The sequence below is a fragment of the Homo sapiens genome, chromosome 18, assembly GCF_000001405.40.
Source record: "Homo sapiens chromosome 18, GRCh38.p14 Primary Assembly".
Classification (NCBI taxonomy): domain Eukaryota; kingdom Metazoa; phylum Chordata; class Mammalia; order Primates; family Hominidae; genus Homo; species Homo sapiens.
In genome coordinates, this window is record NC_000018.10 from 63,138,877 (window position 1) to 63,163,657 (window position 24,781).

Here is a 24,781-nt window from a genome sequence, read left to right on the forward strand (position 1 = left end):
AGGGGCCCTCAGGAGCTGGGGAGGCTGAAAAATGAGAAGCCCAAATGGGTGCTTCCTTTCTCTGGCATTATTTTCACAGTTTGAAAATAATGTGCAAAGATGGCTTATGCCATGGGCCAGGGCAGAGGAAGCTTGGCCCCAACCACCTGCTAATGGAGACTTCAGCCGGAGCTGGCTATTCCAGAGATGGACCTCAGAGGATTCCTTAGTCTAATTACCTTCTGGGCTGGGGTAGAAGATGGTGTCTGGAGGGAAGCACAGAACCAAGTTCCCTACTGCCGCACTAGCTATGCAAATACTGCAGGGCACCTGTGGGCTCATGTCCCTCCTGCAAGAAGGTGTGGTCAGTCCAGTAATTCAAAAGACGTACTTCTGAAATAGGTGGAGAAATGCATTTATAGCAAAAAGTGCTAAAAATATGTTAATAGTTATGCTATTTGGTTCACCAGGTTAGTGTAATAAACCATAACAAGAGAGACTAAAGGCCGTATCTATATGACCTTGAAATCTCATCTTCAGCGGGCTTATTCATTCAGTAACCAAACTATTTTTGTAAGGTGCTGAGTATTTAGCTTAAAGCTAAATAAGACACATGCCCTGCCCTATAGTAACTGCTTGGTAATATTCCCAGTGGCTTCCATGGGCCTGATAATTTTCTTAGTACTGAATTCAAAGCACTTTGTGTCTTGTCTGCAGGCCCATTTGCCCAGCAGTGGCCTTGCCAGGAGAGAACAGGCCCATGCTCCTGTCCTCATTTTAAGGCACACCTGAAGAGGCCCTAAAGAAAGGGCCTATATACACACAGGCCTCAGTCACCTGCTTTCCAGTGTTTTGGCTTTAAAACGAAGTTTCTTCATTTTTCTTCCTACCTTCCTCATTCCATTACCTTCTTTTGGCTAGAGCTTCCGAGGGCCCTGCCTGTTGTGGTGCTCAGCCCTCTCTTGTTTTGGGCTTATGCTATTTCACTGTTTCGGGGGGAAGTATCAAGCATAAAGTGACAAACTTAACACTTTTATGATATTGTGTTGGACATGAAAATATGTCCAGCAAAAAACTTAATTATTATAACTCAACAATAAAAACGTAAGTAGCTAAATTTTAAAAAAGGCCAAAGGATTCTGGTAGACATTTTACCAGTGAAGGTACACAAATGGCCAGTAAGTGCATGAAGAGATGCTTCACTATCATTAGTCATTAGGGAAATGCAAATCGAAACCACAAGGAGAGATCACATCCACTAGAGTGGCTCTAATTTTAAAAATAGATAATAACAAGTGTTGGCAAGGATGTTGAGAAATTGAAACCCCTGCACATGACTGGTGGGAATGTAAACTGGTGCAGCCATTGTGGGAAAACAGTTTGCTGATTCCTCAAAGAGTTAAACAGAGTCACCACATGACCCAGCAATTCAACTCCTAGTACACCCAAAGGAATTGAAATTGCACGTTCACACGAAAACTTGTACACAAATGTTCACATCAGCATTATTCATAATAGCCAAAAGTGGAAATGACCCAAATATCCACTAACTGATGAACAAATAAACAAAATGTGGTCTACCCACATAATGGAATCTTACAACTCAGCCAAAAAAAGGAGCGAAGCATTGACACATGCAACAACATGGATGACCCTCAAAAACATGAGGCCAAGTGAAGGATCCAGGCACAAAGGCCACCCACTGTCTATGAGTCCATTGACATGCAATGTCCAAAATAGGCAAGGCCATCAAGACAAAAAGTGGATTAGAGGTTCCCAGGAGATGGGGAGACGGGGAGACTAGGGAGTCATTGCTAATGGGTACAGGGCTTCTTTTTGGAGTGATGGAAAAGTTCTGGAATTAGCTAAGGGTGATGGCTGTATAACCTTTTGAATATGCTAAAAACCAATGCGCTGATCACTTTAAATGGAATTTTATGGCACGTGAACTATATCCCAATAAAAGAGCTTAATTATGTTCCTTACACGACATGAAGAGGGACTAAACTATTTTTATACCATATGGAATTCCACAGAAGTACTGGCTTGTGATGGATCCTCGGCTCACAAGTGTAATGAGGAATGAGACGCTGCTGGTTAGAAAATGTGCACCACTGTCATTCTCCAAAAGAAAAAAAGGAAGAACTGTAGTAGGAGGTGGCATGGTTTGTGTTCTGGATGAGAAGTTAGGGGTCGGATGCATGAGCAGCAATCGGGGCACTCCTACTTGTAAGGTGAGCAGCTCACTTCACCCCTGGGACCTTCAATTTTCCTCATCTGAAAACTCCGCCGTAGCGAACCTCTAAGAAGTCTCTCTCCGCTCTACCATCTGGGCTTACCTAGTTAGTGACCTTATTCTTCACCCTTTCTCGTGCATCCTTGAGGATGTGACTTGGGTTCTGTTGGTGCGTGCCAGAGCTGTGTTACTGTAACTATTGCAGAGGATCTCCTGCTTCCTCTCTGTGTGGTCCATCTCTTCCATCCGCCACTTCTCCACTGCTCTTCTCCCCACCTGGCCTCAGACCCTCCTGCTGTGAGTTAGGAGGAGGCCTTTCTTGGCACAGCACTGAAGCTGTGACCTCTGATGTGCCTCTGTGCTTCCAATCTCTTTGCTTTTATGAGCATAATCCAAGTTATTTGTCCCAGACCCCAACCCCCATATGCCCACAAAGCCCTCTGCCTCTCATGCCAGTTTTAATTAGAACTGGTGACATCAGTGTGGCTTAAAGTAGGGAGCAGGTGGGAAGCTCTGATTATATTCAATACCGAACAGGACTCTCCACTGCCTGACAGGGGCTGGGGATTCCACAGGCAGACTGGCGTTTGGAATAGATCCACCAACTCTTTTTTCTTGGGATCTGGAGCCACACATGTGGCTCTCCTCCCCACCCCACGCCACTGTCCATACCTGTCTCCGTATGTGAGTAGAACATAATCACTGTGTGCTCCACAGGGATTGGCGACAGGCAAATATGCTCTACTTGTCGGTCATGATTTGGGCCAAGCGTGCCGTGGCTCCTGTACCTGCCATGTGACTCGTGAACACGGGGCATGGCCCAGGCTGCCTCCCTCTATTTTTGTCACTGCAAGAGTTAATTCATGAAAATACGCCAAAAATGGGAACTGAAAGCAGATGCTTGTTAAGTTCTGCAGCTTGGCCTAATCGCTGTCATCAGGACATCGCTGCTGGGGGCAGTGAGGGGAGGGAGTCCTTCATTTATTAAACGTGGAGGGCCAGAGTTAGGGGCCAAATGTTTGGTTTTCACTTGTTTAAATCAGTAAGTGTTGACTGAGGCTGGTGGTGTGGGGAGTACAAAGAACCTGCATGTCCTAATAGGAATTTGCTGAAAGTGGCCTCAGACCTGGAGGAGGGTATGTAGAAGAAAAAGAGCAAAGCAGACTAGGCTGGAGGATGCGGCATCCTCAGCCAGCTGGGCACTGCCAGCCTCCAGCCCTGCCTTGTCTGGCACTTGCTTTTTGGGACTGGTTAAGAAATCAGCCTGGGCATCTTTTCTGGAAGCTCCACACTGCATTAGCTCCAGGGAGCCCTGATGACCTACCGCAGGCCCAGACATCTGTCGAGGACCAGATGCACCCCGGATGGTGCTGGTTCTGTTGTTCTTGGTTTGGGGCAGGTAAGTCACAAATGGCTGAAACTTCACAGCCTGCTTACATCCCACTCAAAAGCACCCCAACGTATAATAGTCTTACTCAGATCCCAGCTCCCCAGTTCTGCAGCTCAATGGGTCATTCTGTGACCGTCAAAGTGACTGCGATGATCCTCTGAGAAGCCCATGGGAGAGGCTTCTTATCCACACCATCAATCTACCGATCAGGAAGAGAAGAACAATTACATCCTCTGTGCTCTGGGGGACAAGGGGAGCTGACGGATGGTGGTGAACTCCTCAGTGAGCTCCATATGGGCATGCTAAGAAAAATCTGCTTTCATTTTGTAGTTTATGATTTAGTTCAGTTCACCTGGAAAGACTCAACATGAATAAAACCAGATGCATTTCAAGGAACACTGCTTGGCTCTTTGACAATCCTCTTCCTTCCTCATCAGACAGTCTTCCTGTGCCCAGGGAAGACAGCAGACCTCTCTATCACAAGGAAAATGCAGTCTCTGTCAGTGGCAGCAGCTGTTAGTACCAGGACAGGTAAATGGTGGGCCAGGTCAGCCTGTGGTTCTGGATCCTGGCTCATTAACATATGGACAAGATACGCTGGCGTGGCCTCTCATCTGAATAGCTGTTTACGGCGAAGGACCTCTGACAGTATGCTTTCTGTTGCAAGAAGGATACTGCTGTATATAGAACTAGAGAGAGAAGCAAAAACAGAAACTCAGAGAGAGAAACGGGAGACCCAGAGACCCAGAAAGACAAAGAGAAAGAGAAAAAGAGAAGCTGAAAGCAATCATGGATGAGTTTTAAGTGAGTGGAGGGGCTGAAATATCTTCCATCAGCACAACCTACAGGGGCACAGTTGACAGCTGGCTGACCTGACCCAAGGACACGCTCTCACAGTGAAGCCAGTGAAGCTGGCCTCCTGGGGGCAGGAGCAAGGTCAGAACACTACACGTGCCCACTGTACAAGGCCTGTCAGCATTGTCAGCAGTGGGCACTTAACACGAGAAAAGTCGTGCCCCTGGGAGATCCACTTCCAAGGCAACTGTCACTTCCCGTCAAACGCTCAGGACCGGTCAGACACTTTTGCAGCTTGCAGCGGCGAGCCTGGGGGACCCTGCCTGCAGAAGGGATGCAAGTATGTGCTGGCTGCATTGCAAATGGAATTTGAACTGTGCTACGGGGCCTTTATACACCGACTATTCCTCAGGCAAAAATGGCAGAGCCAGAATATTCCAGGTGGGACTGGCAGCTGAGTGGTCAGTGGCCATGCCTATGCATGTGTAGCACTGGCAGAACCTTGCTGCCATTGCAGAAACCTTGGAGCGAGTTGGCTCAGGTTGCATTCAGGGATGCAAACATTTACTGACCGCCTGAGTTGCACACAGCATTGTGCAGAGTGCTGCAGGGGAGATAGTGAGCTTGACTCCATGACAATGAGCTCCTTAAGGCAGGACATCATGCTCATCACCCAAATCAGGTACTCAGTAAACGCTCTTCCAATGGGATGACTCAGAGATATGCACACCTAAGGTCGTAGGAATAAGCTCAAGTTTGGGCTGGTGAAGGCTTCAAGAGAAATTTTAGGTCAAGCAAATTGCTATTTCCACTGAGGAAACCCCTTGGCCAATCTTGGATCCACAGGCAACATGTTTTTCATAGTATAATTGGCGCTAACTTTGGATAGCTCGTTTTAGCTCTTTCTTTCCTCTAGCTTTGATCTATCTTTTGGACATATCTGAATCGAGCAATCCAACCATAGGCAAACCACTTTAAAAAGTATTTATTTAGCATCTACTTCTGGCTAGGCACTAAATCTGGGATGACAAGAGATATTTAACTGTGGTGCCAAAGCCCATTAAGGTGGCTTTTACAAACAACTCTAGACAGAAGAGACTGCCATCAGAAAGGTCACACAACTTGCTCAAAGTCACTCAGCTCATTGCAGCAAAGCCGGGGTTCGAATCCAGGACTATATGACTGCCAGGCATGTACCTTTTCAACTATATTTTGCTTCTCCCAAAGGAAGCAGAAAAGACATACAAGATCCAACTCCGGCTCCCCCGGAGCAATAAATATGAGAGGCTAAACAGGAAGTCCCGAGGAGTGACAGGGAACGCTCAAGAAATGTACCAAGAGTGTTTAAGATGGGCTGGAAGGCGGACAGAAAGTGAGACAGGAGCTGAGGCCTCAGGACTTCAAATAAAAGCAAGAAAACCAAGGATGGTGTTTCAGGGCAAGGAAGTGGCATGGGAGTTTGGGGCCACCCTGGTGGGTCCTAAAGCAAGCCGGTGTATGCCGTCAGGGGTGAGTCAGAGCGAATGGGGCCACATCAACAGAAAGAAGACCCTGTGACCATGGAGAAACCACCAGTCACAGGACCTTCCCCATCACCCCCGCCCCCGCCGCCCTGGGCACTGTGCAAGGCTGGATCCCACGGGAACGTGTGCGGCACACTCTGGAAGCCCTTGACTGTGGTCTGGCCCTGTTGCTAGGGCTGCACGTGCCATCTCAAGAGTATTTTAAAATGTTGTATGATATAGACTCAAATCCCCAAAGAGAAATTCTTTCCATATTATTCAGGAAAAGCCCTCCTATTTACAGGGCTGCTTCACAGGGAATTCTAGAATGTGAAAGAGAACAAAATTTCCTTGAGTCACAAAAACAAATCCAACTTGAGGCCTAATTTAGAATATTAAAATATGTGGCCCCAGAGCTTCCACAGTGGCAACTGGATTTTGATCCTTTCAAGTGATCAGCTCAACTATTCTTGCTGGACCAAAAGTGGTTGTGTCTGCAACGTGCATGAACAAGAGTGGCTCCACACCACGGACAGAGCATAAGCCCTCAAAGAAGAGACCCAGGGGGATACAGGGGGCTTCCCTGGCCACTCGCCCCACTGCCCAAGAGATCCAGGGGGTGGGGGGGCTTCTCTGGGCCGCTCGCCCCACTGCCCCGTCACCTGCTTCTTGCATGGTCTCTCTCCTCCTGGAGGCACCCCTCGTGACTCCTCATGACTGGAAACAGCTTTTCTCTACTCACATTTAAAAAATCTTCATAATTTAACAAAGGCAGATACCTTTAAATTCCTAGGAACCTACCTGCCAAGTGTTTTACAAGAACCTAGCTCTGCTCACCAAGCATTTAATCCTTTAATGTTCGATGTGTTACTGGAAGGCCAGAAGTTTGCAAGGCAAGTTTGTGATTGTTGCAGTCAGACCCAACAAGCCAAACACTTTCTTTCAGCATTTTGGCAGTTGCATGCTGAGAGGGAATGTGTTCAGTGCAACATCTCTAATACACCAAATTAAAGATGAACAAACAAAAAAGCAGAATCACAGCATCCTTCATGCACAGTGACTATAAGCTCAGCTCTGTCCTCAGCACACAGGATGCCCAAGACCCTGCTCTGTGGGGTAGCTGAACAGCGAGGAGTTGGTGGGAGACAAAAAATGGCTGGACACGGCCCAGGTCCCCAAGATCCCCCAAACCTCTCTCCCCTGCCTTCACTATAACCCAGACAGGACTCCCGTCCTATCTCCCAAATCCCTTTTCCCTGCCAAAATTCCCTTTATTTTTTTCTCCTTCACTTTGTCCTTTGCTTTCCTGTTCCCTCCTTGTCTTGCATTTTATCAGCTGAAGTTCATTCCTCAGCTCCGATCCCCACAACCCGTTCTCCATTTGCCTGTTGTAGTCTAGGACAGAAAACTCAGAGCCTGAATTTCCTGGAAGACACTAATTCCCCACTCCCTCAGATACATAAAGAAATTAAGTGTTGGCCGAGTGAAACAAGTGAGACTTCTGCAGCCGCAGCCAGGGCTTGGCCATAGCTGCGAGGGACCTTCCAGCCCGCCTCCTGGCAGAAGGACGCTGGTCGTGGACACTGATGGGGAAATGGCGGCTGTCCCTGAGCCCCCCAAGAAATGGAGCGAGGTAACTAGAGGCAGTGTGGTTACCATTTGACCGTGGAAGTCTGACAGGACGCCAGGCCTGCGATCCACGCTGGAGTCAGCCAGAGGCCCGCTCTACAAGCCTCCTTTAACCCTTGAGGAGTTAAATGCTGGCATTGTGGTTATGGGACAACTGGAGAGGGATTTGTGTTGGATAAAGGAGCAGAATAAAAACGTCTAAATTTCATCTTTTCTTTGTGTGTTTTCACCTCTGCCAAATTCTTGGAATTCTTATGTCTTACAATTTTATGTGCTTTTCATTTCCGTTTGAACCAGAAACATCATTTAAATGTCTTTGGAGGTAATCCTAACCTACTGAAACACCCCGAGAAACTGTGAAAAAAGTATTAGGATCACGCCTGGTGGGTTTTAAGAAATTTTTGATCCCCAGGCATAAGTTCATGGTTGATGGAATATAGATTCAAACAGGTATGTTTTACTAACTTGGTACACCACCTGAAGAAAGTGATTTTATTAAGGGTAACTTTAAATGCGAAAAAAATAATTTCACTGCCATCATGTCTACAATACCTTTTGGCGAGAAAACAAGAATTCGGAGCTTTTAATGTTTGGCAATGGAACACATCCTTTGGAGGGGAGGAGTCCCAGGAGAGCTCAACCCCTGGCTCTGAAGCTCATCATGTTATCCTAGATTTATAACCGGATAAGCTGGTCTGTTCTGATGTCTTGGTTCTATCACAAGCCACACAATGGCAAGCTGTGGGGTCTGAGTGTCGACGCACCCTTTCTCAGTTCCTCCACTTGTGGTCCAGGGATTCACCTTTCCAGGCTTTGAGAGCCTCATTTGTAACAGGAAGAGATGCCCCATGGTCCTCTAAAGGTCCTTGGTGACACTCAAGTGACATCACTTTTAGATTCTGGGACTCCGTTTTATGTTTGTGCATCAAAAGCAGGGAGGATGAAAAGGGTTTGATACAGTTGGGGCACTGGGAGAAACAGGTGCCTGCAGCCCTGCTGGCTTGCATTCAAAGTCGCAATGTGCCATCACATTTATTACCGGTGCAAATAGAGGCTTGAATCCTAGAGGGGATTTTACTAGAAGAAGCCGGGACGTGACCTGCCGTAATATAGAAGCTAGGAATGTTCTTGATATTCTAGACATCAAAAGAAACACAAGCCAAAATCTTCATGGCACCAGACATTAGAATCCCAGGCAGGGTTTGTAAAGTCCCAACTATTTCTGCTTAAGAATCTACCCAAGAGATACTCCGACAGCTCAAATGGCATGAAAAACATATTCCAATAACACTGAGATGATTTTATGAAAAATTAAGGGATGTCTTCTCTGGATGTGTCCTACTTCTCAGCCATAAACAATATCCATTATTTATGGTAACTTTTGATGATAAGTTAATACCCCAACCAAAGGAGTTTATGGTTTTCATCCCTATTCCTCGGGCAATGGAACCATACATCACTCAAGATTACAGTGTTATTCCCTTTGGATGCCCCCAGGAGATATTTCTTGTATCTCCTAGAATACCCTCTTGAACCAAAAGTTTCCACATTTAAGTCTTTTCTCAGAATGTTTCATTCTCCATGCCCGACCCCTCCCTGCTTGGAAAATGCAGAGAAAATCCATCAGTCATTTTTGGGTTATCAGACTGTGACAAATTTGTTTTTCAAGCTTCAGAAGATTGTTGAACTGCGCTTCCCCGCTCCCCCCCATTTCAGATAACTCAAAACTGGTTTGGATCCGTGACATCAACCTTGGCATGTATGAAGAACGAGGAATGAGGACTTTGCCTTGTTTGGAACCAAAAGAGAAGAATATCCATTTTCTCTCTCTCTCTCTTTTCCATTTTTATTAAGTCAGTATTTTTTCCTTTTAGCCAGATGATGTATACTTTTAACATTCCAGGAAAAAAGTGTCAGTGATATGCGAGTCATAATAAAAGAAAATCAAAAGAAATGCAATTACAAGGGACAGGGAACTGTATCATTTTTAATATAAAATGCCCAGATGAAAATCTAATTTAAAAAATTACCAGCACCATATAAATGAGAAAAGAATATAAGAAAACATTTGTTATTTTAAAAATTAGCTTAATCCTTAATCTTTCTGGCTCTTGGACTTTCAACTTTATTTTTAAAGGCCAAAAATGGTCTTTCGGTGCTGGATCAGGAGTAAACCTCTCAATGATGCAATGAGATACTGTGAAGTGGCAACGAATTTCCCTGGCCTCTGGCCTGCTGCCTGGAATGTAGTAGGAAAAAAAAAAAAAGTTGTTAAATAAAAACAGTGAACAAACAGGATGAAATAATAACCTTCTCATTCTCCTTATTATAGAGGTATCTATTACAAACAAAAACAAATATTCACATGGCACGCTGTTGTTGAGAAAGTGCTTCCATATAGATCATCTAGTGTGGTCCTCCCAACAAGCCACAGATAAGTTATTACTGCTGTCACCCCTCTTTTAGAGATGACCAAGAATACGTAACTTTTCCAAGGACACCTAGTTAATCAATTATGAAACCAGAACTCAAACCCAGAATTCTGACATAAAATATCCTGCCTTTCCACTCAATCACGCGGCCTCCCTAAATGTAGCTATGACTCCCAGCTAAACGGGCCTGCCCAGAGCCACGAAGTCATAAGTGTGCATGGAGCAGCGACGTGCTTATGCTGACACCTCTGTCTCTTTGATAACGTTTACATTATGAGAAAAGAATCAAGCTCATTTATGTCAGCAGTCCACAACCTTTTTGGCACCAGGGACGTGTTTTGTGGAGGACAATTTTTCCACGAATGGGGTGGGGGATCATTTCAGGATGAAACTGTTCCAACACAGATCATCAGGCATTCGGTTCCCATAAGGAGCACACAACCTAGATCCCTTGTGGGCACAGTTCACAATAGGGTTTGCACTCCTAGGAAAACCTAATGTCGCCACTGATCTGACAGGAGCCGGAGCTCAGGCAGTGATGCTCGCCAGCTGCTCACCTCCTGCTGTGCGGCCCTGTTCCTAACAGGCCACAGACCCATACCGGTCCCGGGCTATATGTATAAGTTGCAACTGTTGGCTGGTGCCAGACGACTTTCGCTTGTTCTGTCTCTGTTTCTCTTCTAGCCCAGGGAGATGTCATTCTGTTACCCTCAACCCATGTGAGGGGAAGCTGGAACTATTCACGTATTTACAGGGAGAGTCCGAATAATCATGCAGTAACCCAGCCTTCCTTTCAAACTCTTTGCTTGATGTAATCGCCAATTTTCATTTCAGGCCTGAAAAATAACACTGTTATGACAGTGACCGGCAGATGATTAACAGTGAAGAAGAGAGGAGATGTCACTAATAATATTGATTTTTAACCCTTTCTCTAGTTTTTGTTTGGAACAAACACAGTGCTTAATTATATGGCTCTCTACAGAAAGGGTTCTCCTGACATGAGGCATTTATTTATTTATTTATTTATTTATTTATTTATTTATTTATTTATTTTGAGACAGCGTCTCCCTCTGTCAGTTACCCAGGCTGGAGTGCAGTGGTGCGATCTCGGCTCACTGCAGCCTCTGCCTCCCAGGTTCAAGCAATTCTCCTGCCTCAGTCTTCCCGAATGGCTGGGATTACAGGCACCCACCGCCATGCCTGGCTAATTTTTGTAGTTTTTTTGTAGAATTGGGGTTTCACCATGTTGGCCAGGCTGGCCTGAAACTCCTGACCTCAAGTGATCCTCCTGACTCAGCCTCCCATAGTGCTGGGATTACAGGCGTGAGCCACCGCGCCCAGCCTGACATGAGGCTTTTAGGTACAGAAAGAGAAGTTTCCTTTGTCCAGATGCAATTTTCCCCTATTTTGCTTGGGTCAGCCTGAAAACGAAAGAAAGAGAGTGACCTGGTGGCAAGATGGCTAAGGTTTCTCTCTTCTTCAGCAACACCCAGCTGAAGAGTGGACACCAGTGAATGCACTCTGCTCCTATCTTCAATACTGTGGGCCCAGGAGGGCTGAAAGAAAAGCAGAAAAATCACTTTCCTGCCCAACGGGCATTGTGATGGTTTTTTTTCTTTTATTGCTAACGTACGTCTTCTCTTGTTTTTCTTTCCCTCTGCGTCTGAGGTTGCCATTCCCCACTTTCTCTCCGCATTTTCTTGGCTCCCTCCAGTTTTCTCTGGAGTGACTTTTCCCTTTCTCTGTGAAACCATCACTTCTATGTATTTTCCGTGTCCCATGAACATGCCACAAGTTCTAGAATTAGACTCTGCTCAGCCTTCCCGTGAGCTGTTTTAGTCTGATATTCCAGCAGTCTCCAGGTAGGAAAAAAGAAGTCGATTTAAATATGAATTCCTATAAGGCTGAAGCTAAGCTAACACATTCTGGAGACCTTGTGGCAGAAAAATGTCCAGAAATATTGGACTATAACATAAGATTTGATGCTTAAGAATGAGTTATCAGGTTTGGGGGTGAGAAGGGGTATTAGGTCTCCAACCTCCACTGGGCTACTCCTGTCATATTTTTCCTAGCAAGACAGGCAACACTCCTCAAAGGTTACTAAGCTGCGCCTCCACCAAGAAGGAAAATGGGACTCCTTTCACCTTGAGCTCTCTTTGTACCTTCAGCAAATGACTTCTGAAGTCATCTTGATCTCCTCTTCTATAATGCAATCAGGGGCATTCCCTGCTTCTCTGTCATCTCTCTAATTACTGAAAGAAATTTTCCCCCTTCTTGTGTTTTTTTCTATAATTAGCCTCATAGATTGGTCAAATTCGTCTGTCCAGATTTCCCCCCAAAATTCCCTTCTCCACACTGACTGCGGTGACCCTAAGCTACTTTTTTGCCTATGGCCGGGCTACCTCCCCTAACACCAATCTACCCTGCAACTGACTAACATCTAACCCAGCAGAAATTACTGGGCATCTGTAACATGACTGGCATGATCAAAACCCTGGGGTGGATTCAAGAGAAAAATGCAACTACTCCTTTCCTTCTATGAGGTCAGGAGCAAGCAATACAAGCAAGAATGTCCTGGTGGCAGAAGGGGTGGCCATGACGGTTCAGAGAAGGGCGAGTTCACTCAGGCAAGGGGGGCGATAATAGATGGGGGGCGATAACAGATGAGGGGCTGGGGGCGAGGGGAGGGGACAGCATAGGCTACAGGGGGAGGATAAATGTGTGCATAGGGAATGCTAATGGCTTGGCCCGACTTTGTGGGTTTCAAAACAAAATCTCATGGAAAAGATAATTTAAATGAAAATCGGAGCTTATTAATTTTCTGTAGGCCCAGCCCAATTTCTCATAGTTCTCAGTCATGTTGGTACATGCTAGTTTCCGTGGCAGCCTAAGATAAAGCTCTTAATGCGATGTGAGTCCCTTAGAGATTAGCACTATTATAAATATAAATGCTCAAACACAAGCAAGTTGAAACCAAATGCCCCCCAAACACTGGCTTTCTGTTATATGAAGGTTTCCAGTGGTGCACTGAACCCTTGGATAAATGAGCTAGAAAACAGAGAGTTAAATGGGCTCATTGGCTAAATCTCATGGCCGGGCTCCTTCATGGGAGGGAAGAAGGAAACTTAGTAGCTGCTCCTTACCTATTTAATCTATAGCAGTTGGCAGGACAGTTTTGGAGGACAATCAGAGAAATGCCCTCAGAACTTCGAGTAGGGGATTGAGCAGGGCATCCAAGACCCTGATCAAAACAGAGGGTCTTTACTCAAAGCCAACCTGCAAAACACCTTCTTGTTCTCACTGCTTTGTATGACTTCCAAGAGACTCACTAACAACTAGTCATAAATAGACATCAAGGAGTTTGTTTATCTAACTAAGAGAAAACAATGTTTGAGTTCTTTAGAAACATGCATTTGACACCACACCAATGTGCTGCTCTGGGAGCAGAATCGGAGCCTGCTTCCTTGGGGCTGGTGTTTTGATGTGGTCATTATTTGCTCAGCAGAGCCTCTACTTGGCAACACCTCGTTTGCCCAATTCTAGGTATTTGAAATTTTAAAAACATATCTCTTTTAAGAAAATTCTAAAATGAAAGAGTTTTTTTAAAAATTAATTCGTAAATACCTTCCCCAAAGTTATTCTAAAATGCCTGAGACTTTAAAGAACCATATCTAAGTCAAGTCTGGTGAGGGCAAACAGACATGACAATGACCAAATCTATTCTTTAATTTTCTAACATTTGTGTACAAAGCCAAACAATCAACATACATACAGAGTGCTACTCCTAAATCTTCTTGCTACTAAAAAATAAAGGGCCAACCAAGTATTCCCAGGAGGCAAAACAATAGCTTATCATGTGCTTGTCCTCAGTGCCTACTAGAGCCTCCTTTTCTCCTGGAAGACATAATGACTTGGGCTGGGTGAAATTGTACACCACCTATGAGAGCAGGATGCTGGGTTGATCAGGTGATAATGCTTCACCATATCTTCAATTTTTGTATTTTCCACCTATTTGATAATGGGTCCTTCAGCGGAGACTACAAGACGTGAGTATACCCACATAACTTCAGCTCAGATTTCTGACGGCGTCCAACTTGCTTGCACGAATATCCACTGCCTGCCCACTCTCTCTCATCTGAGAAAACTATTTGACTCAGCTTTTGCCTCTGCCTCCCACTTTTCACCCTCTCCAGAATGCTCACAGCTCACCCATGCTAGTAGCATTGGAGAGGAAAGAGCACACACATTAGAGTCAGACAGATCTGTGCTTGAACCTCAACTCTGCAAATTACTAGATTCGTCAATGAGTTGAATGAGTTATCAGTTCTCCTCTCGTTCTCTGCAATGCTTAAATCTAACTCATGTTAGATGAGTTATTTAACCTCCCTGAGCCTAAATTTATGAATTCATAAAACAGAGAAAAATAAAAGGCTGTAGTTGTCGAGTGGTCAGGAGGATGAAATGACTTCTGTGAAGTGCCTGGCAGCAAAGGCACTAAAATTCAGTCATGACTCCCTCTCATTCCTCTCTCATTTTTGCATTGAACTGTCAGAGATGGCAATTTTCCTTTCCTAGGTACCTTCTTTATTTACAAGTAGCTTACAGAAAATGCATATATGAAAGGAGTTGTGTGAAACTTTTGAAGCCAGTTAAGCTCTTTTTGCAGAGTCCGTAATTTTTAATTTTAGGATCTTATTTTCTAACATCTTTAGTCAAGGTAAGTTCTTAAAGAAAAAATTCAAATGAAGCTCAATACCTGTATATTATCAGCTAGGGGCCTGGAAGTAGAGTTCTGGAGTTAGCAGAAGTGATTTCTTGAAATCGTCAGGGCAGAGCGGCCAGCCAAATCCTGAGACTCATCAAGGCAGGATTTCCTACCCAACAGCAAGAACATCGGACCTTGTACTAAGCCATGAGGTCCCCACCTGGAATGGTCCATTCAGAATTCTCTACACAGACCTGGCCACTCCAAAAAGCCAGTGGTGAGTCCAGAGGAGGGCAGCTGAAATGGGACAAACTAGGCTTCTAGAAGACAATGATGACTCTGGGAAGGGCAGGCCTGAATGTGGATTTTGGGACATTCATGAAGTCTTCATAGTACAGAAAGGATTAAGCTATAACCCTATTGTGAAGCCTTTAGGCTCATGACTCTTGAATCTCTTTTGAACCTCAAACCCTAGTTTGCGACCAAACAGATCTGCATATCCATCAGGTACATCAAACCCAACACAGCACAAAGGGAACTGATTACACCTTCCCAAAATCTGCCTCTAAGGGTCTAATCAGCCCCCTTGACAGCCCTCAGCCTATATCCTAGCAGAAAAACCGGGGTGATCCTCAACTCCTCCCTCTTCTTTTCCTATGGACACACCATCACTGTCATCTCCACCTTACAGAAGTCTCTTAGGATGTCTCCTCTTTCTGGTCTTACAGAAGCCACTTCTGTTCACCCCACTGCATGGCTTACCTAGACAGTGGCAAGAAGCTCCCAACCGATCTTCCCTCATCTTGCCCCATTCAGCTTCCCTCTGGAGTATTCCCAGGGTGTCTGCTAGACCCACAAAGCAGTTGCGTCCCTCTCTCTTATCCAAATGCCCTGAGTGGCTCCTGTTATCCACAGGGCGAGCTGGCCCTGACCCACGCTTCCAGACTCCCCTCTCCCCACACCCACTGCTTGCCTTGAACTCCATGTGATTACTGGCAGCATCAGCTGCAGCCTCGTTCCTCTACAGATCCTGGCTCACATGCATCCTCAGGCTGGGATGCCACTCTGCCTTTTGCACACCTCTCCACACTCAGCTCAAATACCACCTCCTCTGTGAAGCCTTTCTTGACCAAGCCCCCACCTCCCCATCATGCCCTTTTCTTATTCTGCCCCCTCAAGGCTCACCAGTGAACTCACTGCCACCTGTCTCTCTCCTCCTTGGGGGCACTGGCTACATTTTCTTCATCTTGGTTTTCCCAGGTTCTGATAGTGCCTGGCACCTTGTAAAAGCTGTGTGCATGTTTGCAGAATGAATGAGTAAACACATGGAAATTAAAACTATTTAAACAGGTCCATAAAGATTGTGTTATGCTCAAGGAAGATGGATTCATTACACATCTCAAAAGAACCTCAGGACCTTCTGGGACTGGAATGGCAACACCGTGTGGGGTAAGGAGCCTAGAACGTTCAGTTATGTTCTCAAGTCGTCACAGCTTCACCTTACCCAAGATATCTAACATCTCTGAGCCTCAACTTATTCATCTATAAGAATAAGAGGACGCTACAACATCAACCACAAAGGCTGGGGTGAGAACGACACGGGCTCATGATGCCAAACGTCTGGTGGAGGTCGGCACAGGGCGGGCAGAGGTGGCAAATGGCAGTGTCCTTTGTCCCCAATCAACAGAACTGAGCTGAACATGAGACTCTGAGAAAGGCTCGGGACAGCAGGGCCACAGCACGTCTCCTGGCCTCCAGGGACAGTCAACTTGAGGAGGCGACAAATCTCATTTGCAAAGGTGAGAAACTGTACAGCAAGTCAACAGTATCGGATGAGTCACGAGACAGGACGTGATTGATGTCGGGTGGGCGTGGAATGTGCTGTGCATTGCGTGGGGAGGGCCCTTAGTGGGGGTGAGCTTGGTGGGAAAAGGAGGGTCTCGGAGGGTCCAGCTGCTGGGGTGGAGGCCACAGGGGCCCAGGAGTGCAGGGTGGGCGCGGTAAAGAGACTGCCGTTGTTGCCTTTAGGCTGTTCTGCTGCTCTCTGCTTCCCCCTGTTGGCTTGGGAGGGAAGAGTAGGGCTGTTGGCTGAGACGGACGTTAGAGCGAGCAGGTGAGAAGAGGCTGGGAGGAACCGGCAATGCAGCGACCAGGAGCAGGTGGTGGAGCGGGGAAGAGAGAGGGAGGGCTGCTTGGCCAGATGCCAGGCACTCTGCCAATTGCAGGCCCTGCAGATCTTGCCCCGAGCTCAGGGTCACCTTGAACCCTCTCCTTTCTTTCTCCAGAGTGCTTGTCGCACCCTCTCCCTTCCTGGGGCCCTCACTCATGTTCTCCTTGGAGGTTAGAGGCCCATCCTCCCTCTCCCAGGACCCTTCCCCGCCTCCCCAGCCAGTGTGGGCCATTGGTGTGACCAAGGTGAGGGGCACTTGGTGTTCTTGGGACTCTTGTTCTTTTTCTTGCTTGAGGGCATTTCTCAAGTAAGACCAGAGATCATTTTAGCCCTGAGTGTCCCAGTTAATATTCATGAGGCTTGCTGAGAAGCCAAAAAAAAAAAAAAAAAAAGGCTTGGACGGCATCAGACGGGCTGGCAGGGGAGGGGGGTGTTCAAAGAGGAGAAGAAAGCAAGAGCCAACATAGAGTCTTGCCCAGCAATAGCATGGAAGGGAGTGGCAGCCCATTGTCCCTCAGGAAAATAAACTGCAAATAACTTTTCCCGTTTGTGTCAATCTAGTGCTTTCAACTTACAAACTATTAGTAGGCTTTAGAACTTAGATCAATTGACATTCTGGGTCAGGTAATTCTTTGTTGTGGGGAGGACGGGCTGCCCTGTGCACTGGAGGATGTTTAGCAGCTTCTCTGGCCTCTGCCCACGACATGCCAGCGGAAACCCTTGTCTAGTGTGAAAACCCGAAATGTCTCCAGGCCGTGCCAAATGTCCCCTGGAAGGCAAAGTCATCCCCATGGAGAACCACTGCCTTAGATTATTGTTAGGTGCTACCCAAATGCCCAACACCTGTACTGGCCCCTCCAGTCTCACCCTCATCTGAGCACTGCAAGAACGTCCCACCCTGGCGTCCACCTCCCCCGTCCACCTGATGTTTACGTAAACAGAAACAGAAGCTTCTTTCAGAAGCCAAGGAATCTCCTCCCAAGTCCAGACGTTGTGGGTTGGGGGTGGGGGTGCAGGAATGCCTCTAACTCTGCTCAGTAACTGCAACCCCATGGACTTCATAATGGCCAAGGGGACTCCACACCCAAAGCCCTCATTCCCCAATTTCCTGGGCAGCCAGGGATCCAGGTAGAAACGCTTGCCCAGGAGGCGTCTCTCTGGTGGAGGAGTAAACCTTGGAGAATTTGCCCTCCGTTTTCTTCCCTCGCTTTCTTCTCCATTTTCTCTCCCAGGAGCTAGCTGGTGAGTAGCTACCGCAGCTACTCATGTGAACATGAATCTGGGGCCACCCTTTTTCAAATTTCAACAGCAAGTCCTGGAACTAAACAAGAAAGCCTTTGCACAAATAAACAATTAAGTTAATTGTGGGTCTGACAAATATTTTGTTTTCCCGAGGAATTAAGTATGCATCTGGGGTTAGGCTTCTGGGCTGAGCCTCTTGTGTAAAAAACCAGAAGGCAAGAAACTGAAGGAATATGGTCAAAGTCCCTTATTTTAAAATCAAGGACACTGAGTCCCGGAGAGGTGAACTGCCTGTCAGCACGGAAAACAGGACCAGACATAATCATGGTACCTTGTTCCAAGTGAAGTTACCTAATGCTCCCTTCCCATCCAAACAAGGATTTGGGATATGCCGCCCAGGAGGGTGGTCCCAAAGGGGATCCTCAGAGGATGCATCACTAAGTATTTCTGTACCCCAGGAGGTGGCTTATTTCATGGAAACCCTTCACCTGGGGCTGTTCATAGAACCATGCACGCGGCAGTTGAAAAGGGGCACCTACGCCTTGCTCTGTGACATTGTTTTCAGTGAAAATTAGCGTTCGCTGTTTTCAGCGTTAACCTTAAACTCCAGCTGGCTTTATCTCCTCTCACTTATTATAATTGTAACGCAGTGCACTGTGTAAAGGTCACACCTGTGTTTATACGCCATATGCCATCAAAATACCATGAAGAGAACACTATGTGGTCTCTATCAGAAGATCAAAAGAGAAGGGGTGAGAAGCAGACCTTCCTCCTAATTCAGGGCCCTTCAGTCCTTCCCAAACACTGAAATAGGCCCATGTGCACCACTGCTCCCGCAGGAGTTTATGTCTAGGCCAAGTACGTGCTGTTTATTGACAGAGAAACAAATACCGCTCAGCACCTGTCCGGTTTCAGAGTGATGAGGGAGTTTCCAATCTGGATCTGAGAAAACTTTTACACTGTACCCAAACATTCTTTTTCTTTTCTTTTCTTCTTTTTTTTTTCTGAAGCCAAAATTAGAACAAAAACAAACATATACAGAGTTCGGCGTAGCAGGAAAAAGAAACTCAGCTCAAGACATTTCATAAGAAAAGCTCCAAGTCCATCTATACTCACCTGGCCTGGAACCCTGGGATTCATTTGATTGAGGAGGGTCACAAGCTGTACCCCAGAGGCTCGGGAGGCACCACTCGGTAGGAAGACCCTCCTGGTTTCTCAAGCTGGAGGAGCAGACTGAAAGGATGTTTGGGGAGTGAGGAAGTAATAGGGGAGTGGATGCAGAAGGTATTTTGTTGTCTAACCTAGTGGTTCCTTGAGGCGTATTAATGAGTAATATTCATGCACCTTCTCCTTCTGCCAAGGCAGAAATAACCTGGTACTTTTTACCTGGTGGCCGAGTGACCTGGCCCTACCAGGGACTTCACTAATTAGCATAGTCTCTCATAGCCTGGCCTTGGGACTGGCTGTCACACGCTCTCCTCCACACCAGCCATCAGTTGCTCTGGACCCTCCGAGACCCCCAGGCAGCCTGACAGCCAGTGAGCAGAAAGACCTGACTCCTTCCTGGGGCCCCTTCCTCCAGAGGCCCCCCACGAAGCTGTGCTGGCCCTGTTTAGGCAGTGGACACAAGCCTGTTCCAACCCCAGAATCCAAGGTCTAAGTCATCTTCAATAAGGTATTGCCTGAAACCATGTGGGATAAAAAGCTTCTTCCTTTAAAATAACCTTCAATGAAGCCAGGCCATTACTGGAACTTATCATATATAATGACACACAAAATGCCAAGAGAAATTTATAGCGCCGCCTGTCTGCCCACCATTTAGGCACTGGTGAGTCATTAATTCATGAGAGATTTATCAGTTTATAAAAGATGCTAGATAAGTTAATTTTTAAAAATCATGTGAGTATAGATTTATGCTCAGGTTATCTACTTTAAAAAAAGGATCTCTCTTGGGCTGTTTTTCCAAAGCAGTGCAATTCACGTTAACCCCCCATCCCACTGCCTCCAGCCCATGCCCTAGAGAGCTGCTGAAGGACACTGGAGTCTGACTAGAGGCAGGGCTGGGCCCACTGAGTGTCACCAAAATCACAAAAACACAACTGAAAGAGAACTGTTCTTAAATACTCATGTACCATAAAAGGGGAATTTCCAGAGGTCTCTGATATTAGCAATTTGCCCTTCCATTCCCTTCCTCTCTAGTTTCAAGATGAGATGATGACAAAAAGACTGACTAGTGAGAAAAAGCATGAAACTCCATCTACAAACGTGCAAACCGACACAGAGCAAACCTGCAGGAATTTCCACACCCGGTCTTCTGATTTGCCTTGAAAAGGGGGAAAAAGAGAGAAAGGAAGCGTACCTTCGCCTCCACTAAGACATCAACATTAACTCTGTTTTCTTAATTTCACACGAACATCACTGCGTCTGGAGTCTATGTTTTATTTTTCCTGTTAGGCAAAAGCAATTTTTCCCAAGTAAAAGTTCTGAAACGGATTTCTTTTAGAAGCAGAGATAACTGGGAATTTTCTCAAAACTAGTACAAGTATGAATGTTTCTCCTTTTACTTTCCATTTTTACAAATGCATTTAGGGCCAAATGCACTGGCTAATTTTGATAGAATGTAACAGAGACAGGAGAAGCAGTCCATCTCAGTGAGTGAGTGGACATTTATTAGGCATTCACTTTTCACAGGCCTGGGATATTAGGTATTGCGGGGGTGTTGTATTCAGGAAATAGAAGTCAAAATCCAATTGAGTAGGGAAATGAGCCAAACAGAAATGGACACAAAGACACCAAAAACACCTACAAAAACACAGATGAATGTGCAGAATCAGCTGGAGTTTCTATGAGCTGAGCTGAATCTGCTCACCTTGCAAAGATTTCCCCGCACAGTGGGGACTGCCCACGCGTACGCATTTCTTAGTTTCTGCTGGCCAACTCGAATCGTTTTCAGCGGGGTCATTTACATCGTGTCCACTTTTTCTGGTTTCCAAACTCAACCCACTTTATTATCTTAAGAGTTTTCATTCTCAGTATCATTTACATACAACAAAATGAATATATCATGTGTACAGTTTTATGAATATTGACAAAGGCATACATCCCTTTAACTCACTCCCCTATCAAGATATGCAGCATTTCCATCCTCCCAGAAAGAGCCCTTGGAGCCACTTTGTTTTTAAATTATTTGCATCTGAATATTTTTGAGTGGAGATTATCAAAGCCAAATGTGTGGGAAGAAAGCCTAATCATTAATCATCTACTACAAATACAGGTAGTAAAGGTTTTGAAGATGGTGCGTGAGCCTGCACAGACAAGTCTGCGGGATTGGGTCCTGTTATGAAATGCCAAAGGGGCTTTTTAGCGACAGGCACGTGGGCCCCTCTCAGCCGCCCTGTCGGCACTCAGATACGCAACTAAGACCGAGTGGGTTTCTTTTCTGGTTTTGTTCTTTAGGCATCAGAGTTTACATGTTTAGAAAGAGGGAAGTTGAGGCTGAATAGTCACATCCACCATATTCTCATAGGGGCAAATGTTCTCTGATTAGGAGGGCTCAACCACAGTGCAGAGTCCCCTCTTCCAAAATTCTGTTTCAACACCGAGAGGAGTTCACATGACCAGGCAAATTAGAGATTTTCTTAGCATTTCCTGTTTCCCAGATTTCAGAGGAGCCCTTCAGGGAATGTCTGGCCCAGGGTAGCACATTCAGGATGAGGGAAAAATGGTTATTTTTAGGTCCCTCCAACCATCACATTCCTCCCTGTCTCCACTTGGGCACTCTGTTGTTCTAGTGACCTGTCAAAGGGATGGGGGCGGGGCTGCGAGAAAAAAGCCACATCGCTTCCTTTGGGGTGGGGGTAAGGGTACCCCTGCTCCAGGGGTCCTAAACTGCTCACTAGCCCTTCTGCTGGAGAGGGACCAGAGGTGGAAGACCTGCCAGAGTGAGTGCCAGGCAGCTCTAGACTTCTGGGTATTCATTTCTCATAAAAGGTTGCAGTATTTCCTGGACACCTGAATTCTATGTCTTCACGGCAAAAACAATTCAAAATGTCCCAAAACATTATGCAGGAAGGAGTTTTTAATTTTTTTTAAATCACTTTTCCAAAATGGTACCCTGAGGTGATCCTGTCTTCAATCTCCCAGCAATGAAAACAATGTGGTTGAAAAGTTGACAGCTTTCAACCCTTGAAAAGGTCACCTCCCTGCCTCACACCCTCTCGTAAGTATTAAGAGCATAACGGATATTTTGAGTCACATGTATTGTTCTTTGTTCATTTGCATTTGGTGAAATCCCCCCCTTGGACCAATTTAGTAAGCAGTGCCTTGGGCTTCCTTGGTGATTGTTCTCTTGTCTTCTGTATATTTTTTCCTGTGAAAAAAATTTAGACTCAGCCAGTGAAATGAAGTTGCAGCCTCTGTCACTGATGCTTTCTTTTTGCTCAGATGATCTTTCCATCTCGCTTGGGACAGAATTCCTTCTTCTTTGCAACGAATGAAGACCTTCGAGGCTCAGCTGAGGCCCTTGTACTCCAAGACTTTCTGAAAGCTCCCTCGCCCCTCCCCATCTGACCTTCTGTTGGACTGACATACTTCTCCATATTTCAGCCTCAGATGGCTTGGTGTTCACCACTAGACTGTGTTACTGAAAGTTAATCAAGGGTCCTAGGGCCATTTACAAAGTGGGACTGTAAGAGAAAGTCTAGCTAGATGGAAATGTATCCTAAATACCCCCAAGTCCCAGCACAGGGGTTCCCATCAACAAAAAGCCTCACCTCCAAATACATTGCTGAGGACGCAGGGCCCCGTCTTCCCACCTGACGCACTACACACCACGTCAGCTGTCACAGGAGGTCTGAGTGCTTTATGAAGCTGCCTGCTTTCTCTCTTACCTCCATGTGTAAGCCAACCACTCTGGCTTTCAGAAACATATTTCTTTCTCTATGAGTAATTTAAAAGTGACTCATCCTCAGCCTCACCAGCCGGTCCATGTGACCTGCAGTGCTGGTTGAGTGTTATCTATAGATGTGTAAACCAAAGCAGTTCTTAGAACACAGATTCCCCCTCCCACGTGCTGTTGATTTCCCTTTGCTACACAGGGAGGGAACGATGTCAGACATGAGCAGCCAGGGACTGCCCGCTCCGCACTCAAATCTGGAATGTGTCCATTAGAGGAAACAAAGGCCATCACCCAGTGACAGAAAAGAAGAGACAGGCAAAAGGCCTAATATATTTATTTTAGTATTAGCAGACCATCAAGAAGCTCTGAGAAAACTCCACAAAAATTGAAGACGATGATGACCCATATAAACAAAAAACTGCTCAAAGTTCTTTTTCTGAGCCAGTAGAAATTTAGACCTCATGAAACAGAGATGACACCCACACCCACCCCAACCAAAACCCCACCAACACGTCTTCATTGCTCAATCAGAAACACATTCCTGGGATCTGCTGTGGTTTGTCTTGGGAACTCACATATATGAACATGTTTTTATTTCTTCAACTTGCCTTTATTCCACCATCACCAAAGAATGGTGTCAGGCCCAGCTCGGGGACACTACTGGTGCAGGCAGGCACGCGGGTGACACAGCTGGCCAGCATTCTAGATCGTGTTTCTTACCTCTTTCTCACTTCCTATTTTCTATTAAACCAAATCTGAACTCATTTGCCTGCTTTGTGAAGACCTTCATAATCCAGCTACTGTCGCCTGATTTTCTAGCACCATCTATGCTCTTGGCACAATTAATCCTTGGCTACCACTAGGGCAGCATCCTCACTGCTCCTCCAAGGAAGACACCAGAGCCTTCATTTCCATGCCTTCACCCTCCCAAACCCCCAAACTCTGCCCTCCTTCCTTCTTTCCTTCCCTCCTTCCTTCCTTCTTTCCATCCCTCCTTCCTTCCCTCCTTCCTTCCTTTAAATTGAGAAACTTTTGCTCTGTCACTCAGGCTGGAGTGCAGTCGCAATTATAGCTCACTGCAGCCTTGAATTCCCAGGATCAAGTGATCCTCTTGCCTCAACCTCCTGAGTAGCTGGGACTATAGGCATGTGCCACTATGTCTGGCTAGTTTTTGTAGAGATGGGGTCTGGCTATGTTGCCAAGGTTGGTCTTGAACTCCTCGGTTCAAGTCATTGGTCCACCTCGGCCTCCCAAAGTGCTGGGATTACAGGTGTGAGTCACCATGGCTGGCCACCCTTCCTTACCACTGTCTGTATCTTTACCTTCTGGGAGCACTCTTACCTTCATCACCCAAATCTTAACCCATTCTTCCAGCTCAGCTCATCCCACCTGAAAATCTCCTTACCTTCCTCACCTGACCATTCAAGCTGTCACTAATGTCTACATCTCCTAAACTTCTCCAATAGTTCATCACATCTGCTCTTCAGTTTTGTTTTGCTACCTAATATATCACTTCTTATATTTTCCAATATTGTTTGATTGCAAGTTCTTTTGGGAGGGGTATCACATATTTCACTCCTATTGGCCCCACAGTGCCTAGCCCTATAACAGCAGATGAAGCAACCTTTAGATTGAAACAAATATTATTTTAATATTGCCAAAAAGGTGTAATAAGCAAGGTCTTACTAAACTTTTGGCCAGCTGTTAAATTTGATTGCATGTTGCCTGAAAGAGAAACTTTACTTTTTATCCTAGTAGGAAGTTATGTGGAGAGGAATAATGTATTGGATATTCAGTAAAATGA

At 45.9% G+C, this 24,781-nt stretch overlaps 1 protein-coding gene across 2 annotated transcripts in view, besides 15 other annotated features; it reads right to left on the reverse strand.

The window, feature by feature from the left end:
• The window catches only part of BCL2 (BCL2 apoptosis regulator), a 196,745-nt gene that overhangs the window by 15,531 nt on the left and 156,433 nt on the right, over window positions 1-24,781 (reverse strand). The window lies entirely within an intron of this gene.
• Window positions 3,330-3,429: an enhancer, noted in NCBI's record as "active region_13448". NCBI's record gives its function as "activates an Ori minimal core promoter by ATAC-STARR-seq in GM12878 lymphoblastoid cells {active_cell/tissue: GM12878}" and the evidence as "EXISTENCE:reporter gene assay evidence [ECO:0000049][PMID:35858748]".
• Window positions 3,980-4,169: an enhancer, noted in NCBI's record as "active region_13449". NCBI's record gives its function as "activates an Ori minimal core promoter by ATAC-STARR-seq in GM12878 lymphoblastoid cells {active_cell/tissue: GM12878}" and the evidence as "EXISTENCE:reporter gene assay evidence [ECO:0000049][PMID:35858748]".
• Window positions 6,999-7,499: an enhancer, noted in NCBI's record as "H3K4me1 hESC enhancer chr18:60813108-60813608 (GRCh37/hg19 assembly coordinates)". NCBI's record gives its function as "activates a minimal SCP1, AML or CMV promoter by ChIP-STARR-seq in naive H9 embryonic stem cells {active_cell/tissue: H9 hESC(naive)}" and the evidence as "EXISTENCE:reporter gene assay evidence [ECO:0000049][PMID:30033119]".
• Window positions 7,500-8,000: an enhancer, noted in NCBI's record as "H3K4me1 hESC enhancer chr18:60813609-60814109 (GRCh37/hg19 assembly coordinates)". NCBI's record gives its function as "activates a minimal SCP1, AML or CMV promoter by ChIP-STARR-seq in naive H9 embryonic stem cells {active_cell/tissue: H9 hESC(naive)}" and the evidence as "EXISTENCE:reporter gene assay evidence [ECO:0000049][PMID:30033119]".
• Window positions 8,234-8,353: an enhancer, noted in NCBI's record as "active region_13450". NCBI's record gives its function as "activates an Ori minimal core promoter by ATAC-STARR-seq in GM12878 lymphoblastoid cells {active_cell/tissue: GM12878}" and the evidence as "EXISTENCE:reporter gene assay evidence [ECO:0000049][PMID:35858748]".
• Window positions 12,158-12,327: an enhancer, noted in NCBI's record as "active region_13451". NCBI's record gives its function as "activates an Ori minimal core promoter by ATAC-STARR-seq in GM12878 lymphoblastoid cells {active_cell/tissue: GM12878}" and the evidence as "EXISTENCE:reporter gene assay evidence [ECO:0000049][PMID:35858748]".
• Window positions 16,209-16,358: an enhancer, noted in NCBI's record as "active region_13452". NCBI's record gives its function as "activates an Ori minimal core promoter by ATAC-STARR-seq in GM12878 lymphoblastoid cells {active_cell/tissue: GM12878}" and the evidence as "EXISTENCE:reporter gene assay evidence [ECO:0000049][PMID:35858748]".
• Window positions 19,050-19,099: an enhancer, noted in NCBI's record as "active region_13453". NCBI's record gives its function as "activates an Ori minimal core promoter by ATAC-STARR-seq in GM12878 lymphoblastoid cells {active_cell/tissue: GM12878}" and the evidence as "EXISTENCE:reporter gene assay evidence [ECO:0000049][PMID:35858748]".
• Window positions 19,840-19,889: an enhancer, noted in NCBI's record as "active region_13454". NCBI's record gives its function as "activates an Ori minimal core promoter by ATAC-STARR-seq in GM12878 lymphoblastoid cells {active_cell/tissue: GM12878}" and the evidence as "EXISTENCE:reporter gene assay evidence [ECO:0000049][PMID:35858748]".
• Window positions 20,080-20,129: an enhancer, noted in NCBI's record as "active region_13455". NCBI's record gives its function as "activates an Ori minimal core promoter by ATAC-STARR-seq in GM12878 lymphoblastoid cells {active_cell/tissue: GM12878}" and the evidence as "EXISTENCE:reporter gene assay evidence [ECO:0000049][PMID:35858748]".
• Window positions 20,140-20,239: an enhancer, noted in NCBI's record as "active region_13456". NCBI's record gives its function as "activates an Ori minimal core promoter by ATAC-STARR-seq in GM12878 lymphoblastoid cells {active_cell/tissue: GM12878}" and the evidence as "EXISTENCE:reporter gene assay evidence [ECO:0000049][PMID:35858748]".
• Window positions 21,955-22,074: an enhancer, noted in NCBI's record as "active region_13457". NCBI's record gives its function as "activates an Ori minimal core promoter by ATAC-STARR-seq in GM12878 lymphoblastoid cells {active_cell/tissue: GM12878}" and the evidence as "EXISTENCE:reporter gene assay evidence [ECO:0000049][PMID:35858748]".
• Window positions 22,485-22,724: an enhancer, noted in NCBI's record as "active region_13458". NCBI's record gives its function as "activates an Ori minimal core promoter by ATAC-STARR-seq in GM12878 lymphoblastoid cells {active_cell/tissue: GM12878}" and the evidence as "EXISTENCE:reporter gene assay evidence [ECO:0000049][PMID:35858748]".
• Window positions 22,815-23,104: an enhancer, noted in NCBI's record as "active region_13459". NCBI's record gives its function as "activates an Ori minimal core promoter by ATAC-STARR-seq in GM12878 lymphoblastoid cells {active_cell/tissue: GM12878}" and the evidence as "EXISTENCE:reporter gene assay evidence [ECO:0000049][PMID:35858748]".
• Window positions 23,305-23,354: an enhancer, noted in NCBI's record as "active region_13460". NCBI's record gives its function as "activates an Ori minimal core promoter by ATAC-STARR-seq in GM12878 lymphoblastoid cells {active_cell/tissue: GM12878}" and the evidence as "EXISTENCE:reporter gene assay evidence [ECO:0000049][PMID:35858748]".